The 18438-nt window shown below is 53.0% G+C and overlaps 2 protein-coding genes across 3 annotated transcripts; one reads left to right on the top strand and one right to left on the bottom strand.

The window, feature by feature from the left end:
- Positions 1-10105: 10105 nt before the first annotated feature.
- Positions 10106-11544, top strand: SYCN (syncollin). Its single transcript, NM_001080468.4, has 2 exons — positions 10106-10509; positions 11373-11544. Exons 1-2 carry the CDS (start codon positions 10115-10117, stop codon positions 11380-11382), a joined length of 405 nt encoding a protein of 134 aa, NP_001073937.1. The 5' UTR covers positions 10106-10114; the 3' UTR covers positions 11383-11544.
- Positions 11545-12484: 940 nt separating this feature from the next.
- On the bottom strand, positions 12485-17405 carry NCCRP1 (NCCRP1, F-box associated domain containing). Of its 2 annotated transcripts, NM_001001414.2 has the most exons (6): positions 17050-17405; positions 16254-16316; positions 16116-16167; positions 15104-15199; positions 13885-14023; positions 12485-13753 (listed from the first exon to the last, which is right to left on the bottom strand). In NM_001001414.2, the coding sequence occupies exons 1-6, from the start codon at positions 17384-17386 to the stop codon at positions 13613-13615; spliced, it is 828 nt and encodes a 275-aa protein (NP_001001414.1). In that variant the 5' UTR covers positions 17387-17405; the 3' UTR covers positions 12485-13612. The 2 variants fall into 2 exon arrangements, with proteins under 2 accessions (NP_001001414.1, XP_011525208.1); XM_011526906.4 differs by lacking the exons at positions 12485-13753; positions 13885-14023 and adding an exon at positions 14045-14491.
- Between the last annotated feature and the right edge of the window lie 1033 nt (positions 17406-18438).

Below are 18438 nucleotides of genomic sequence, written 5' to 3'. Positions count from 1 at the left end.
GTGAAACCCCATCTCTACTAAAACTACAAAAAATTAGCTGGGCATGGTGGCACATGCCTGTAGTCCCAGCTACTTGGGAGGCTGAGGCAGGAGAATCCCTTGAACTTGGGAGGCGGAGGTTGCAGTGAGCTGAGATCGCACCACTGCACTCCAGCTTGGATGACAGAGCGAGACCCCGTTTCAAAAACAAACAAACAAACAAACAAACAAAAAACTCAAAGGAAAAAAGAATAAAGAAAGCAAGCATGAAAGATATAATAGGCTGGGAGCAGCGCTTCACCCCTGAAATCCCAGTGCTTTAGCAGGCCGAGGCAGGAGGATCACTTGAGCCCAGGAGATTGAAAGCAGCTTGGCAACACAGTGAGTGATCCCATCTCTACAAAAAGAAAAAATATTAGCTGGGCATGGTGGCATGCACCCATAGTCCCAGCTACTGGGAAGGCTGAGACAGGAGGATTGCTTGGGCCCAAGAGTTCAAGAACAGCCTGGGCAACAGAGTGAGACCCAGCTGTACTAAAAAAAAAAAAAAATAGCTGGGTATGGTGGCACATTCTCAGATACTCTGGAGGCTGAGGCAGGAGGATTGCTTGAACCCAGGAGGTTGAGGCTGCAATTAGCTGTGATCATACCACTGCACTCCAGCCTGGGTGACAGAGCAACACCTTAACTCAAAACAAACAAACAAAAAAAAGGTATAATAACCAAATCCACAATGGTAACTAATGCTATTTATCATTAATGAAATAAGATCAAATTAAAGAAACAAATGTACAATAGGAGAACCCGAACCCACAAAGCCAACTGTTAGTTATCATTGGCGAAGAGTCTAATAAAGATGTTGCAATTATAAGGCCAGATGCGGTGGCTCATGCCTGTAATCTCAGTACTTTGGGAGGCTGAGGCGGGTGGATCACTTGAGGTCAGGAGCTCGAGATCAGCCCCTGGCCAACATGGTGAAACCCTGTTTCTACTAAAAATACAAAAGTTAGCCAGGTGTGGTGGCGGGTGCCTGTAATACCAGCTACTCAGGGGGCTGAGGCACGAGAATCACTTAAACCCAGGAGGCAGAGGTTGCAGTGAGCCGAGATTGCACCACTGCACTCCAGCCTGAGCAACAAGAGCAAAACTCCATCTAAAAAAAAAAAAGTTTTGCAATTATAAATCAAAACTGATAGAGAAAAAATGAGGTCAGGCGTGGTGGCTCACACCTGTAATCCCAGCACTTTGTGAGGCTGAGGCCGGTGGATCACCTGTGGTCAGGAGTTTGAGACCAGCCTGGCCAACATGGTGAAACCTCGTCTCTACTAAAAATACAAAAAATAAGCCGGGCATCGTGGAGTGCACCTATAGTCCCAGCTACTCAGGAGGCTGAGGCAGGAGAATTGCTTGAACCTGGGAGGCGGAGGTCGCAGTAAGCCAAGATTGCACCATTGCACTCTAATCTGGGTGACAGAGCGAGACTCTATCTCAAAAAAAAAAAAAAAAAAAAAAAAAAAAGAAAAGAAAAAATGAGGGAGTCTCTGAGACTACTCTGGCTCAGAGAGTGCCTGATAAAAATTAATAACATTTTAAAAAATAAGAGAGAGCGAGACAGAATGTATCGATGACCAATATTAAGCAATAAGAAACAGGAAACCTCCCTACAAATCTCAAAACTCTAAGAACACGTAAGCAGTTTTTGTGTGTGTATTGTGTCCACTTCATGCATGAGGGAAACTGAAGCTTAGAGAGGCTGAGTAAGTTGCTCAAACTCACACAGCCCATAAAAGGCAGAGGCAGGATTTGAACCCACAGTCCTGGACCCACTCAATCTCTGTGCTATGGCGCCACCTCCTGAGCGCTTCTGGGTTCCCCCTTCCCGGGCCCTGCTACCAGCGAAACCCTGTCCCCAATCTGGGCTTGGCTTAGGGTTTTCACTCCCCACCCGCAGGGGCTCCTGGACCAACGCTATTGCAGCCCTGAAGAGTTTCAGATCCAGCTTCCTTCACCGGCTTCCTTCAGAATTTAATCTGAGTTTCCATCTCCATCGCTTCCCTGAGTTCTCTGGGCCTGGCTTCCCTCTGTATTCCTGCCACCTCCTCCTGGTGGCAGGTTCCAAATTTGGGCTGTATTCTTGCATTATCTGTCTCAGCTTAGACTGTCAGTTTGCAGAGAGCCTCGCCACTCAAGCAATGGCCCTCAGCAGCCTGGCATGCTCTGGGAACTTGCAGGAAATTCAGACCTAAACCCAGCCGGGCGCAGTGACTCACGCCTGTAATCCCAGCGCTTTGGGAGGCCGAGGCGGGTGGATCGCTTGAGGTCAAGAGTTCGAGATCAGCCTGGCCAACATGGTGAAATCCTGTCTACAGTGTGCCCCAGCCTGGGCGACAGAGCAAGACTCTGTCAAAAAAAAAAAAAAAAAAAAGGAAATTCAGGACCTAAACCCAAGCCCAAACCTGTTGAAGCAGAATCTGTAGCTTAAGACCTTTCCCGTCTCCCTCTCCCTCTCCCTCTAGGAGGTTGGCAGCACCTTAAAAGTTGAGTAGCTCTGGCCTAGACCAGAAAGGGACTGTGGGACCCCGGGAACCTTTAAGACAAGGCACCTCACCTGCCATAGGTGTATCTGAGAAAATGGAGGTGAGCTGTGTCCTGAGGTTAGCTGATGACCAATCTTTTGTCTGTGTTGCAGGAGATTCAAGTTCAGTCTGGGCATTTGGAGCTCCAGGCACTGGAGATGTTCCCTTTTCTAATTGCTAATGACAATATTTTTCTGTAATCAGGAGAATTACATGAAATATACTTTTAAAGGATCTAAACAAATTGAAGTATCAATACAGAAAATTCTAGACGTAGGCTGGGCGTGGTGGCTCATGCCTGTAATCTCAGCACTTTGGGAGGCCGAGGCAGGCAGATCGCTTGAGGTCAGGAGTTCGAGAGCAGCCTGGCCAACGTGGTGAAACCCCGTCTCTACTAAAAATGCAAAAATTAGCCGGGCATGGTGGCGTGTGTCTGTAATCCCAGCCATTTGAGAGGCTGTGGCAGGAGAATCACTTGAACCTAGGAGGCAGAGGTTGCAGTGAGCCAAGATCATGACACTGCACTCCAGCCTGGGCAACAAAGCAAAACTCCGTCTCAAAAAAAAAAAAAAAGAAAAAGAAAAAGAGAAGAAAATTCTAGGTATAATAAACCATTCGTGACATAGGAAGCCTCAGACTGAAGCCCTAGCCATCAGTTCTTAAACTTGAGTGTGCACTGGAGTAACCAGGAGGGCTTGTGAAAACCCAGATTGCAAGGCCCCATCCCAGAGTAGGGCTGGGGTGGGGGTGAGAATTTTAACTTCTAGCAAGTTCTGACAGGATGCTGATGCTGTTGGTCCAGGGAGTACCCTTTGAGAACCACTGTCTCCAAACCACACAGTTACGGCTGCTTTGGGATTATACTATCCCTTAAGAATTATATGGAAATAGCCAGGTGTGGTGACTCACGCCTGTAATCCCAGCACTTTGGGAGGCCGAAGCGGGCAGATCACAAGGTCAGGAGATCCAGACCATCCTGGCTAACAGGGTAAAACCCCATCTCTACTAAAAATACAAAATAATTAGCTGGGCGTGGTAGCAGGCACCTGTAGTCCCAGCTACTCGGGAGGCTGAGGCAGGAGAATGGCGTGAACCCAGGAGGCGGAGCTTGCAGTGAGCCGAGATCGCGCCACTGCACTCCAGCCTGGGTGACAAGTGCAAGACTCCATCTCAAAAAAAAAAAAAAAAAGAATTATATGGAAATAATCTGGCTGGGTGCAGTGGTTCATACCTGTAACCCCAACACATTGGGAGGCCAAAGCAGGAGGATCGCTTGGGCCCAGGAGCTAGAGACCAGCCTGGGCAACATAGCAAGACCTTATCTCTAAAAAAAAAAAAAATTTTTTTTTAATTAGCTGGGCCGGCCGGGCACGGTGGCTCACGCCTGTAATTCCAGCACTTTGGGAGGCCGAGGCAGGCAGATCATGAGGTCAGGAGATCGAGACCATCCTGGCTAACACGGTGAAACCCCATCTCTGCTAAAAATACAAAAAATTAGCCGGGTGTGGTGGCGGGCGCCTGTAGTCTCAGCTACTTGGGAGGCTGAGGCAGGAGAATGGCGTGAACCTGGGAGGTGGAGCTTGCAGTGAGCTGAGATCGTGCCACTGCACTCCAGCCTGGGCAACAGAGCGAGACTCCACTCAAAAAAAAAAAAAAAAAATAGCTGGGCTTGGTGGTGTGTACCTGTGGTCCCAGCTACTCAGGAGGCTGAGGCAGGAAGATTGCTTGAGGCCAGGAGTTTGAGGCTGCAGTGAGCTGTGATCGCACCACTGTACTCCAGCCTGGACAACAGAGCAAGACCCTGTCTCAAAAAAAGAAAGAAAATGTCATTCAGTGTCATATCTTTACAAAATTGTAATGCATTCTGATGACCCAGTATGAACTTAAGTACCGATCTGAGTATTTTCCTGTATTTATGCAACACACAGCATTTTCATTTAAATTATGTACAACCTATAATGTTGTTTATGTTCAAGTACCACCCTGATGGAGACAAATACTTCCGTTTTTCTTCTAGTGGCAATTTCACATGTATAAGCAATCTCTCTTTTTATGCTGTGCTGAAAAATGTCAAATCAAGGTTGTAAAACCTGAAAAGAGGATTCCTTATTATACAAACCAAAATATATCAGTGGATATGAAACAAACAAACCAACCTGTCATTCTTCCCATTGCATTCCTTTGTATGCCCCTGTTCTAACTCTTTTCACGTTGTGTTCGAATTATTGATTTATTTACCATCTGACATTCTCAAGGGCTCATGGTTCCTCAAGGGCAGGACATTCTCCTATTAGAAAAAATTGTGTAATAAGATGTTCGCTTTTCTACCATTTGTCTAGTTTGTGTTAATAAATACTGAGGAAATTGTTTCTGGATGAGGACGCTGTGCGCCTGTGTGTGTGTGTGTGTGTGTGTGTGTGTGTGTGACGTGTGCTTATGTGAACAAGTCAGATGTGTGTGTGTGAGATTTCACATGATGTGTGGTGGCTCATGCCTATAATCCCAGCACTTTGGGAGGCTCAGGTGGGAGGATTGCTTGAGGCCAGGATTTTGAGACCAGTCTAGCCAACAGATCGAGACCCCGACAATGTAAAAAAAAAAAAAAAAAAAAAAAGAGGCCGGGCGCGGTGGCTCACGCCTGTAATCCCAGCACTTTGGGAGGCAGAGGTGGGTGGATCACCTGAGGTCAGGAGTTTGAGACCAGCCTGGCCAACATGGCAAAACCCTGTCTCTATTAAAAATACAAAAAATTAGCTGGGCATGGTGGCGGGCACCTGTAATCCCAGCTACTTGAAAGGCTGAGGCAGGAGAATCGCTTGAACCCGGGAGGCAGAGGTTGCAGTGAGCTGAGATCGCACCATTGCACTGCAGCAGCCTGGGCAACGAGAGCGGAACTCTGTCTCAAAAAAAAAAAAAAGATTTCACAGGTGTGAGATTGTGAGATTTGTAGAGTGTAGGGCGGGAGTGGAGGAAGACTGGAGGCTTGTTTGTGACAATGGCTGTGTGTGGTTCCGTTGGGGGACAGGGGTACGTGTTGCCCCAGATCTGTGCATGTGTCTACCTTAGGATTCACCAGTGAGAATCCAGGACCATCAGTGGCTGGCTGTGTGATGCGTGTCCCTACTCCCTGCCCGTGTGTGAGGCGGGATTGAAAATGCTGTGCCCAGGCCCTGGGTCTCTGTGGGCTCTGTCAGACACGGGCTGTGTACTGTGCCTCAGTGGTTTCCGTGTTCCTTCCTGTGCCTGTGTCTGTCTCCCTGTCAGGGTCTCCCTAGCCATGTCGCTCTCTGTGTCTGAAGTTCATGGCCCTCCGGGGTGGGCAGGACTCTAAGTGACTCTGCTGTCCTCCATCCCTGTGTCTGGGGCGGTGCAGAGCCAGAGGGTGGGTGTTCTGTGCCCCTGGGACCAAGGAGGCTCTCTGGGAAGTCAGCAGCTGGAGATTAGATTTCAAGGGATCACAAAAGGAAATGAGAAAGAAGGATCCCTGGGCAGGGCCAGGCCAATGGCCAGGGTCTCAGAGCTGTTAGGAGAACAGTCATAGTAGCTCCCATGTATTGAGTACCTATCATGTGTTGGGCACTGTACTTCATGCTTTATGTATTTGCATTTATACTATTGTGTTAATGCAATATTGTATATTAAGTATTCATATTACATACATATACATATATATGTATGTATATATATTTCTTTTTTTCTTTCTTTTTTTTTTTCTGGAGACAGAGTCTCACTCTGTCACCCAGGCTGGAGTGCAATGGCACGATCTTGGCTCACTACAACCTCCGCCTCCCAGGATCAAGCGATTCTCCTTCCTCAGCCTCCTGAGTAGCTGGGATTACAGGCATGTGCCACCGCGCCCAGCTAATTTTTGTATTTTTTTAGTAGAGACAGGGTTTCACCATGTTGGCCAGGCTGGTCTCGGAACTCCTGACCTCAAGTGATCCTCCCGCCTCGGCCTCCCAGAGTGCCAGGATTACAGGCATGAACCACCGTGCCCAGCCTATATTATATTTATAAATAACAATTATATGGATTGTTCATAATGTATTATATCAGTTGTAAATTACTTTATAGAGACGTCTTTTTTTTTTTTTTTTTTTTTTTTGAGACAGGGTTTCCGTCTATTGCCCAGGCTGGAGCACAGTGATGCAATCACAGCTCAATGCAGCCTCGACCTCCTGGACTCAAGTGATCCTCCTGCCTTGGCCTCCTAAGTAACTGGGACTATGGGCATGTGCCATCATGCCTGGCTCATGAGACCTCATTTTCTATTATCCCATTGAAGGTAGGAGGAAACTGAAGCTCAGAGAGGTAAGTTCATTTTCCCAAGGTTGCTCAGCAAGCAGGTGGCAGAGTAAACATCCGAACCCACTTCCAAGTGTTTCCAGTCTTTGGCTCTCTACAACAGCCCTACCCCACCCGAGGTGGAAGCCACAGCATCTAAGGAGGACCAGCAGGGCATAGGTTTAGCTGAGTGACTGTGGATAACAGCAAATTGTTGGTGTTATGTTGTTGTGATGGTTGAGGTTTATTGAGTCCTTACTATGTGCCAGGCACTGTGCTAAAGGTTTTAATAATAATAATGATGCACCGGGTGCAGTGGCTCATACCTGTGATCCCAGCACTGTGGGAGGCAGGAGGACCGATTGAGCCCAAGAGTTCGAGACCAGCCTGGGCAACATGGTGAAACCCCATCTCTACAAAAAAAACCAAAAAATTAGCAGAGTGTGGTGGTGCGGGCCTGTGGTGGCATGTTCTCTACTTGGGAAGCTGAGGTGGGAGGATTGCTTAAGCCCAGGAGGTTGAGGCTGCAGACCTGGGAGACGGAGTGAGACTATCTCTTAAAAAAAAAAAAAAAAGATGGTGGTGATGATGATGGCAAATGCTCATATGGCACTTAGCAAAGGCCGATCCCTTCTCTAAGTGCTGTTATGTGGATTAATTCATTTATTCCTTTTTTTTTTTTTTTTGGCAGGGTCTCACTCTATCACCCAGGCTGGAATGCAATGGCACGATCTCAGTTCATTGCAGCCTCGGCCTCCCAGGTTTAAGCAATTCTTCTGCTTCAGCCTCCCAAGTAGCTGGGATTACAGGCACCTGCCACCACGACCGGATAAGTTTTGTATTTTTAGTAGAGATGGGGCTTTGCCATGTTGGCCAGGCTGATCTTGAACTCCTGACCTCAAGTGATCCTCCTGCCTTGGCCTCCCAAAGTGCTGGGATTACAGGCGGTGAGCCTCTGCGCCCAGCCCAATTAATTTATTCCTTATACCAGCACTCTGAGGTAGGTACCATCAGCGTGTCCCTGAGGCCTTCATGTGCACAGCTTGTAGAGGAGCTGGGATTTGGACCCAGGCAGTTTGACTCCATGGACTGTCCTCCTAAACCACATCCCTTCTACCATCTCCTGCAACCTTTTCAACATTCGTATGGCGTAGGAGGAAACATTACCCATTTCACAGATGAGGAAACCAAGGCCCACACCTGTACTGACAGAGCCAGTGGACCCTTGTCTCTCTAATCAGCGCATCCACACACTTGACCCTGTTTTGGGAAGAGGCTGGGAACTCCAAAGAACCTTGGAAGGGCTTTGGCCAGGCTCCCAGAGGTCCGGGTCCCTGTTCAGCCCGAGGGTTCCAATCTCCCTCTCCTTCCTATACTGCTCTAATTTTTCCTTTGCTTGTTTCTTTTCTCTTTCTCTCTTTTTTTTTTTTTTTTTTTTTGACAGAATCACTCTGTCACCCAGACTGGAGTGCAATGGTGTGATCTCGGCTCACTGCAACCTCTGCCTCCTCGGTTCAAGCAATTCTCCTGCCTCAGCTTCCCGAGGCTCTGTGTGTCACCGTGCCCAGCTAACTTTTGTATTTTTAGTAGAGACAGGGTTTCACTATGTTGGCCAGGCGGGTCTCGAACTCCTGACCTCAAGTGATCCACTCACCTGGGCCTTCCAAAGTGCTGGGACTACAGGCGTGAGCCACTGCTCCCGGCCCTTGTTTCATTTCTATTGGCTGATTGGTAAGAGCTCATTTTATATGATAGGAATTGAGTCTATTTTTCCCTGGATGGGTTTGTGGGTTTTGTTTTGTTTTTGCTATATGACAGTTTTTACAGTTTTATACAGCTCAAAATCTATAAAACAAGATTGAAGTTTTATAGATTGAAGATTTCCAACCTTAGTTAAGAAAGTCTCCTGGCTCCTGGGGTGGGAGTTGCAGGCTGTTCCCTCCCTCTCCCTCTCCTAGGCCTGTCCTTAGCATGTGGGAGGGAGGAGTGCATTTCTTGTCAATTTGTATGCACTCTTTTTTTTTGACGCGATCTCGGCTCACTGCAACTTCCACCTTCTGGGTTCAAGTGATTCTCATCCCTCAGCCTCCCGAGTAGCTGGGACTACAGGCATGTGCCACCACGCCTGGCTAATTTTTGTACTTTAAGTAGAGACGGGGTTTCATCATGTTGGCCAGGCTGGTCTCGAACTCCTGGCCTCAAATGATCCACCTGCCTCAGTCTCCCAAAGTATTGTGATTACAGGCGTGAGTCACCGCGCCCAACCTGTGTGCACTCTTTATATATTATAGCTTGCAATGCTATGCTTTTGAAATGTTGCAAATATCTCCTCAAGCCTTTGTACACTGTCTTGCAAAAGGTTTTTAACGTGTTATGCAAATACTGCTATCTTGTACTTCACAGATTCTGGATTGCCAGCCTTGGTTGGGAAGATTGCCCAGTCTGAGCCTGGTGGGGGTGGGGGGTGGGGCGTTGGGCTCCTCCCCATCTCCTTCTCTACCTGCCCCCCCCCGCCCCACCACGAGGGCCTCTATCCTTATCTCCAGCTTCTCCTTTCCCAAGGTCCTGCCTCCCAGGGAGGGAGCCTGCCCAGCCAGGAGGCCCCAGCCTCCCACTCCTGCCTCCCCCTCCCAGTCTTTCCTTATTTAGAATAAGGGTTGTTCCATTCCTTATCTTTTTTTTCCTGTCTTTGTTGCCCAGGCTGGAGTGCAGTGAAACGATCTCGGCTCACTGCAGCCTCGAACTCCCGGGCTCAAGCGATCCTTCCGCCTCTGCTTTGTGAGTAGATGGGACTACAGGCCATGCCACCACGCTGAGCTAATTTTATTTTTCAGTAGGGATGGGATCTTGCTATGTTGCCCAGACTGGTCTCAAACTCCTGGGCCCAAGCGATCCACCCGTCTAGGCCTCCCAAAGTGCTGGGATTACAGGCGTGAGCAACCAGCAAGCCCCTTGTCAATTTTTAAGAGCTCTTCCCATTTCTGTCTATTAACCTATGCCACCCTCTGTGTTGCAAATGACTCCTCCTCAAGTTCTGTCTATTGTCTCTCTTTATAATGTTGTTGGTCACCTAACATCTTAAGGTGCTAAGTTGTATACACAGCGTCCACCTTGTACTCAGGGTTGTGGGCTTCCGACCTAGGTTAGGCAGGTCTCCCGGCTCCTGAGGGAGGGGCGCCCTCCCCTTCCCTCGATGAGTCCTTATCTCGCAGCTTGTCCCTTCCCACGGGTCGGGCGCATAAAAGCGCGCGGGGCTGCGGCAGGGCACTGCCACCATGTCCCCGCTGCGCCCGCTGCTGCTGGCCCTGGCCCTTGCCTCCGTGCCTTGCGCCCAGGGCGCCTGCCCCGCCTCCGCCGACCTCAAGCACTCGGACGGGACGCGCACTTGCGCCAAGCTCTATGACAAGAGCGACCCCTACTATGAGAACTGCTGCGGGGGCGCCGAGCTGTCGCTGGAGTCGGGCGCAGACCTGCCCTACCTGCCCTCCAACTGGGCCAACACCGCCTCCTCACTTGTGGTGGCCCCGCGCTGCGAGCTCACCGTGTGGTCCCGGCAAGGCAAGGCGGGCAAGACGCACAAGTTCTCTGCCGGCACCTACCCGCGCCTGGAGGAGTACCGCCGGGGCATCTTAGGAGACTGGTCCAACGCTATCTCCGCGCTCTACTGCAGGTGCCCGGCCGCCCAAAGCTCCGAGCCCACCCCAGGCCCAGGCCCCAGCTCCGCATAAGCCCCCACACCCACCACCCAAGCCCCGAGGCTGCTCCACACCCCTGAGCTCCCGACTGTAACAGGGAGCACCAGGCCTCCCTAGAACCAGTCCTGGAGGCCCCCATCTCAGAGTCCTCACCCAAACCAGGTCCTCCTTCTCCTCACCCCCAGCACCCGGTCCCCACTCCACCTGCAGCCCAGGCCCCTGGGACGGAGATTTCCGCCCCAGCTCTGAGATTCAGAGCCAACCCTCCACCTTCTGGAATCTTCCGCCTACCCACCCGCCCACAGCTGTACTTCCCAGAGAGGGCTGGCTAATTCTGGGGACTGAGAGCTCCTAGACCCCCTCACCCTGGAGTCCCCAGAACCAAAGCCAGCCCCCACTCCCCAGATCATCACATCTCAAAGCTCCCAGACTCCAAAACTAACCCAGACCTCAAGACTCCAGACTCGATTATAGGAACACCCAGTGTAGCCTTCATGCTCTCCACTCCCCTAGACCCTCCAGACCAGCCTCAGCCCTAAAATCAGTCCCACAGCCCACCCCCAAGACCCAACCCTGGAGGTCCCTGAGGCCACCTTGCACTCACAGACCTGGGACCTAGATCCAGCGGTGACACCCTCCCAAACCCTCCCCAGCCACTCCTGTCCCCCAAGAGCTCCAAGGAGCCCCCAGCTCCAAACTCCCAGGCTAGGATCCCTGGTTCCTGAACTTGGAGCCTCAGACCCAGACTCCCCAGCCCCCACCCAGTCTCAGGCTTCTAGAACTCACCAGACTCTGGGTCTCTGAGAGCCCCTGGAAGGAATTCTTGATTACATTTCAGGTGCAGCTGATGCATTGCTGGTCTCTCATCTGCAGCTTCCACAGAGTGCCAAGCCCCTCACTCAGCCCATCCCTGGGCTCTGCTCCGGGGCCCCAAGACCCAGGAGGAGGAGCGTTCTGCCTGCCCCCTCCCACCTCCCCTGCAATACAGCCTTTGTGCAGTTGTCCCCGTCTGTCATCTGCTTGTCCCTGGGATGCAAGGACCGGGTGGGATGGAGGAGACAGCAGGGTGGTTGGGCCTGGGTCAGCCCATACCCAGGACAATGCCATGGATAAGGACACGCCATCGACTCGGACATGGTTTTAGGTGTGCACGAAGACACACGCCCACAGAAGGACATGTGAGTGAACTGCAGGGGAACCTTGGGCTGATTGTTAAATATGAAACATGCCCCATCCTTTTCAGTAATAGCCCTTCCTTAGCCCTGGTGTGGTGGCTCAGGCCTGTAATCCTAGCACTTTGGGAGGCTGAGGTGGGCGGATCACCTGAGGTCAGGAGTTCAAGGCCAGCCTGGCAAACATGGTGAAACCCCGTCTCTACTAAAAATACAAACATTAGGGCGGGGTGCGGTGGCTCACGCCTGTAATCCCAGCACTTTGGGAGGCCGAGGCAGGCGGATCACGAGGTCAGGAGATTGAGACCATCCTGGGTAACACAGTGAAACCCCGTATCTACTAAAAATACAAAAAAATTAGCCAGGCGTGGTGGTGGGCGCCTGTAGTCCCAGCTACTCGGGAGGCTGAGGCGGGAGAATGGCTTGAACCTGGAGGCGGAGCTGGCAGTGAGCCGAGATCATGTGACAGAGCGAGACTTCATCTCAAAACAAAACAAACAAACAAACAAACAAAAAAACCCCACAAACATTAGCCAGAAATCGCTTGAACCTGGGAGGTGGAGGTTGCAGTGAGCCGAGATCGTGCCACTGCACTCCAGCCTGGGCAACAGAGGGAGCACTCTGTCTCAAAACAAACAAACAAACACTCTTCCTTGAGCCGTTTCTGGCCTCCAGGGGCCTCCGGACTCCCTCCATGGTTCCTGCAGGGGACAGCAGGGGGCCTTCTAGTACCCAGCCCTGCACTAGGGCTAGGATCTGCAAGTGATCAGATCAGGACTTAGAGGTTGATAAATGCTTTTAATCCCCACATTCCACACACGGGGGACGCTGTCATTCACATTTTCATATTTCTGTTCTGGTCGCAGTCTGTGTCCTCACCACCCTCATGAATGAGGGACTTTGATAGATGCCTGGGTTTGTGGGCTCTGCGGTAGCTGGAGGAGATACACAAAGGGTCCTCGGAGGAGGGTGTGGGACAGCTTTGAGGGGACAACCACTGCAGACACCTGGAGGGAGCTAGGGGAGATTCTGAGACTTAAGAGACATGGAATGGCTGGGCGCAGTGACTCACGTCTGCAATCCCAGCACTTTGGGAAGCCAAGGTGGGCAGATCACTTGAGGTCAGGAGTTTGAGACCAGCCTGGCCAACATGGCGAAATCCCGTCTCTACTAAAAATATAAAAATTAGTCGGGGGAGGTGCTGTGCACCTGTAATCCCAGCTACTTGAGAGGCTGAGGCAGGAGAACCACTTGAACCTGAGAGGTGGAAATTGCAGTGAGTCGAGATCGTGTCACTACACTCCAGCCTGGGTGACAGAGTGAGATGCCATCTCAAAAAAAAAAAAAAAAGTAGGTAAGTGGAGATGCTAAGGGGAGATGTGTGAAGAGATCAGAGGTCAAGGTCAGTTCAGAAGGACCCCGGGATGTGAAGGTAATGGAAGATCAAGGATCGGGGCGGTTAAATGGGACAGGAACTGAGTGAAGTGAATGGCTTCATTCCCCTTTCAACACACATTTGCTGCCACCCACTCCGTTCACAGCCCTGGGCTGGGTGGTGCTGGCAACACAGCAGTGAGCATTCAGTTTCAGTGAAGTTCAAAGAAGCAGAGACCAGCCCTCAGCATCCTTGGGCACAGGTGTCTATGCATTCTCTCAACAGAGATCTACAAAGCATCTGTGCCAGAGCATCTGTCGGGCACTGAATTTACAAGGAGTGGCTCCGCCCTCATGGGGCTCAGACAGTGCTGGGAAAATGCTGGAGTCCACCGCTTAAGGGTGTGTGAAGCTGTCCATCAAGTGAGAAGCCAAGGGCCAGGGAGAAATAAGAGGCCTAGGAGGTGACTAAGAGTTGGGGCTCCTAAAGGTCAGGGAGGTGCTGTGGGGTCAGGACAGAGGAGCCAGCCAGTCACTCCCGGAGCTGCACAGACACGGAGGAGTCGGTCACCCGTGTCCGCCGCAGCCCACCAGGCTCCATGCGGTTCTTGGCCTTGTGCAGGAAGTGGATAAAGCGCACACCGGGACCATAATGGCGGAATACGTGGGACACCTGTGGTGACAGCACCTGGGGTTAGGGAGGAGCCCTTTTTGAGGACCCGCGGACCTGTTCTCCTCCCTCTGTGAGGTCTTGGGACAAGAACACACGTCTGGGGTTGAGGGCCCCGGCGCGGAGAGTCTCACCTGGACCCAGCGGCCAGGGGGTCCTCTCCCAGAAGTTCGGGGGGCCACGTGGTGCTGAGCAATGACCGTGCGGCGGTCGGCCGCCAGCAGCCAGACATGCAGCTCATAGACGCACGCATCCAGCCGGCTGTCCTCGAACCTGCAGGCGGAGTCAAGGCCTTCAGCTGTCACTGCAGTCTCAGCTACCCAGCCCCAGCCCCTGGCCCCATTCCCCATTCAACACACATGCTGCTACCCATGCTGTACACAGCCCTGAGCTGGGTGGTGCTGGCAACATAGCAGTGACCAAGACAGCCCCACACCCTGCCACATGGGATTCACAGTCCAGTGAGGGAGGCAGGCATGCCACCAAACATGACAGCCAGGAACGGCCAGGTTTGGGATGGGGAGCACGGGCAGAGGGGTCAGGGCCAGGATGGGGGGACCCAGGCAGAGGAGTTGGGGACAGAACTGGGGACACAGGCAGAGGGGTTGGGGTCGGAATTGGGGACCCAGGCAGAGGGGTTGGGGCTGGAATTGGAGGCACAGGGCACTGGAGAAAATGCACGTGACCCAGCTGAGGGGTGATCAGGGAGGGCTTCCTGGTGCAGCCATGTGGAAGTGACTCCTAAGGAATAAGAAGGAATTGGTCTTGAGAATAGAGGGTGACAGGCTTTTAAGAAATAAGGAATAGGCTGGGCACAGTGGCTCACACCTGTAATCCCAGCACTTTGGGAGGCCAAGGCAGGCAGATCACTTGATGTCAGGAGTTCGAGACCAGCCTGGGCAACATGGTGAAACCCCATCGCTACTAAAAATACAGAAATTAGCCAGGTATGGTGGCGCGCGCCTGTAGTCCCAGTTACTTGGGAAGCTGAGGCAGGAGAATCGCTTGAACCTGCGAGGCAGAGGTAGCAGTGAGCTGAGATGGCACCACTGCAGTCCAGCATGGGCGACAGAGTCAGCTGTCTCAAAAAAAAAAAAAAAAAAAAAAAAGAAAGAAAAAAGAAAAAAAAAAGAAAAGAAAAAGAAATAAAGATCAGCCTCAGTAACCCCCTGGCACATTTCAAAATCTGAAAGGCTCAAACAGAAGGGGCCAGGGAGGTGGGCAGGGCAGGACCCTGTAGCACCAGGAGGGTCTTGGTGAAGGGCTGAAAGCAAGGGGAGCTCAGAGTAAGGCTCATGCTCTGGGCAGCCCTGCGCGATCACGGGGTCAGGCTGGCAGGGGAGGGGCACGCACCAGTCCATGACCGTAATGGCTGGTTGTTCGTCATCCAGCAGCTCCTCCCACAGGCCCTCGGCCAGAAGGTCCACACACTGCTGCTTCACTGTCCAGCTGTGAAAGAAGGGCCGGGAGAGGCGGGGTCTGCGATCTGCCAGGATCCAGGGAGCAGGAAGCCCTGTCTTAGTGCTTTCTTAGGGATAGCTTGGGTCCCCACACGTGGGGTGCTCCCTCAGCACCTTCCACTCTCAGTTCCCACGGGCCCCTCTGAGGGCAATGCATCCTGAACCCCATGCTACAGACAAGGAACCTGAGGCTGAGGATGGAGACGTGTCCAAGGTCAAGCAGCAAACATGTGGCAGAGCCAGGATCCCAACCCTGGCCTGTGTGACCCTGAGCCTCCAAGTCACACCAGCTCATCTACTGTGCAGGAGCAAGGCTCTGTTTCATGGAGGACAGGGGCCTGGGGTGACTCTTCCCCTCCCAGGGAAAGAGCCTTAGAATAATTACAACAATAACAAGAATAGCCAGGCGCGGTGGCTCATGCCTGTAATCTGAGCACTTTGGGAGGCTGAGGCAGGCAGATCACTTGAGGTGAGGAGTTCGAGACCAGCCTGGCCAACATGGTGAAACTCCGTCTCTACTAAAAATACAAAATGAGCTGGGCATGATGGCGCACACCTATAATCCTAGCTACTCAGGAGGCTGAGGCAGGAGAATTGCATGAACCTGGGAGGCAGAGGTTGCAGTGAGCTGAGATTGCGTCACTGCACTCCAGTCTGGGCAACAGAGTGAGACTTCATCTTAAAAACAAAAACCAAAAACCAATAATAGCTGCTATTGACTGGTGCTAGCCAGACCTGGCCGGGCCCTATGCTGTGTGTTTTACAAGCATTCTCTCTTATGCTAACCCTGTTTACAGAGCAGGAAATGGAGGTCCAGAGAGGCCAAGTCAGTTTCTCCAGGTCTCACAGTGAGGAAGGGTGGAGCAGGGAATGGAGTGTAAGCCACACTGGCCCTGGCGACTCACCTTTGGTTCTGCTGGAGCTTTTCAGTTCTAATGTACCAGCCACGGAAATTGCCTGCAGGTTGGGGAGCAAAGGGTTAGGACACCCCAACGCTGGAGGACCCTCCCCACCCTCAGCAACCTGGCCCTCCAAGCACTTACCCAGAGTTTCCAGGGGTCGCTGGGTGGGACCAGTAGGGGGTGCTGGCTCATAAATGTTGATGCCTGAAATGGACAGGTGAGTGGAGCCTCTGGGCAGCCCCTCCATCTTCCACCGCCTCACCCCTCCCTACCCGCAGGGCTATACACTGGAAGGGCAGGAATCTGTGCCAGGTCAGGGAAGCCCGGCAGGGATGAGTGAGTCAGGGCTCTGGGCTGGGGAGAGGGCAATGCCAGGGGTAAGTGGGGTGTGGTGAGACAGACAGAGACAGAGGGACAGAGAGAAGAACCCAGAGAAAGAGACAGGCCAAGAGTTTGAAACCAGCCCAGCCTGGCCAACATGACGAAACCCTGTGTCTACTAAAAATACAAAAATTAGCCAGGCATGGTGGTGCATGCCTGTAATCCCAGCTACTCGGGAGACTGAGGCAGGAGAATTGCCTGAGCCTGGGAGGCGGAGGTTGCAGTGAGCTGAGATTGCACCACTGCATTCCAGCCTGGGCGACAGCAAGACTCCGTCTCAAGAGACAGAAACATAGGCAGAGGGGGAGAGAGAGAGGAGGAGAGAGAAAGAGAGATGGAGAGGTGTGAGGGAGAGGTGTGAGAGAGGTAGGTAAGAGACATGACAGAGAGACAGGTGGTAAAATGGAGAGGCACAATGACAGAAAAAGAGACAGAGGGATGCAGAGAAATGCATAGACAGAGAGAGACAAAGAGGTAGAGAGATAAGGAAACAGGGAAAGAGGAAGAGACAGACGGTCAGGGTGGTGCCTCCTGGCTGCTCTGGGCCCTTGCGCACCTTCGGGGTTGGGCGAGCGCAGCAGGTTGCGGTAGAGCGGCCGCCGCAACAGGAGCAGCTTCCAGGTGAGGCGCTGGGGCAGCTCCAGGCCCCCGCTCAGCGGCCCCCACTCCTCCAGCAGCAGCTGCCGGGCGTGAGCCTCGGACGGCTGCGCCGGCTCGGGGAGCTCGGGGGCCTCCGGGGCTGCGGGCGATGGCAGCGACGGCGGCGAGGGCAGTGGTGGCGGCGACGGCGGCGGTGAAGGCGACCGTGGCGAGGGAGGCAGCTCCTGGAGGCTCGCGGGCCCATCGGCTTCCATCCCGCCACCGAGCGCGTGTCCCTCACGCACCTCCTCCATCCCTCGAGGCTGCGCGACTGTCCCGGTTTCACAGGGCTGGGGTTAACTGGGAGCGGGAAGGGGCAGGGCACCCTGGCTGACATTTAAGAGAGGGGCGTGTCGGGGGAGGATCTTGTCCCTCGGACCCTCCTCCCTCAGACCCAGGAGTCCAGGCCCCTAGCCCCTCCTCCCTCAGACCCAGGAATTCAAGACCCCAGCCCCTCCTCCCTCAGACCCAGGAGTCCAGGCCCCTAGCCCCTCCTCCCTCAGACCCAGGAATTCAAGACCCCAGCCCCTCCTCCCTCAGACCCAGGAGTCCAGGCACCAGCCCCTCTTCCCGCAGACCCAGGAATCCAGGCCCCCAGTCCGTCCTCCCTCAGATCCAGGAGTCCAGGCACCAGCCCCTCCTTCTTCAGACCCAGAAGTCCAGGCACCAGCCCCCTCCTTAGGTCCCCAGACTTCCTGCCCCAATTTTCCCAGGGCCAGCTGAGGACCCAGCGTGAGCCTGACAGAGCGTGTGACTAATGTGCTAATGCCAGGGCTCCGGGCTGTCTAATGGGACCCGTGCACCTCATTAAGATCCAGCATGGCAGGATTAAGAGGCTAATTAACGAAGACCCCCCTCCTCCCCCTCCCCACTCTGCAGAGGGGGAGTGGATGGATGAGCTGAGGTGCAAAGGGAAGGTCCTGCCTCTGCCACTTCCTTCTCTGTCCTCACCTGGGACACCCCCTTGGGGCCCTGACACATACTGTCCAGAAAACCAAGGTGAGGAGAGCAGAGAGACACCCAAAACCAGAGATGAGGAGCCTCAGAGATGGGGGACCCCAGGGAGGCACAAAGATGGCAGTGAGAGGGAAGCAGTGATCCCAACTGGGTGTTCTGGGGGCCTGCACCCCTGCCTGGGACTGGGGTGGGGGGCTGCAGAAGCCTCCCCCATCAGAGGTCACGAGGAGGTGGGAGCAAGGGACGGGGCACAGGTGGGGACAGGAGGTCAGGTGTGGAGGAAGTGGGGTGGCAGAGGAACCTGTAGCGCCAGATTCCCACAGCCACTTCCTGCCCGTGGCCACATCCC

The sequence above is a fragment of the Homo sapiens genome, chromosome 19, assembly GCF_000001405.40.
Source record: "Homo sapiens chromosome 19, GRCh38.p14 Primary Assembly".
In the NCBI taxonomy this organism is placed as follows: Eukaryota; Metazoa; Chordata; class Mammalia; order Primates; family Hominidae; genus Homo; species Homo sapiens.
This window is presented reverse-complemented; position numbering and strand designations above follow the sequence as displayed.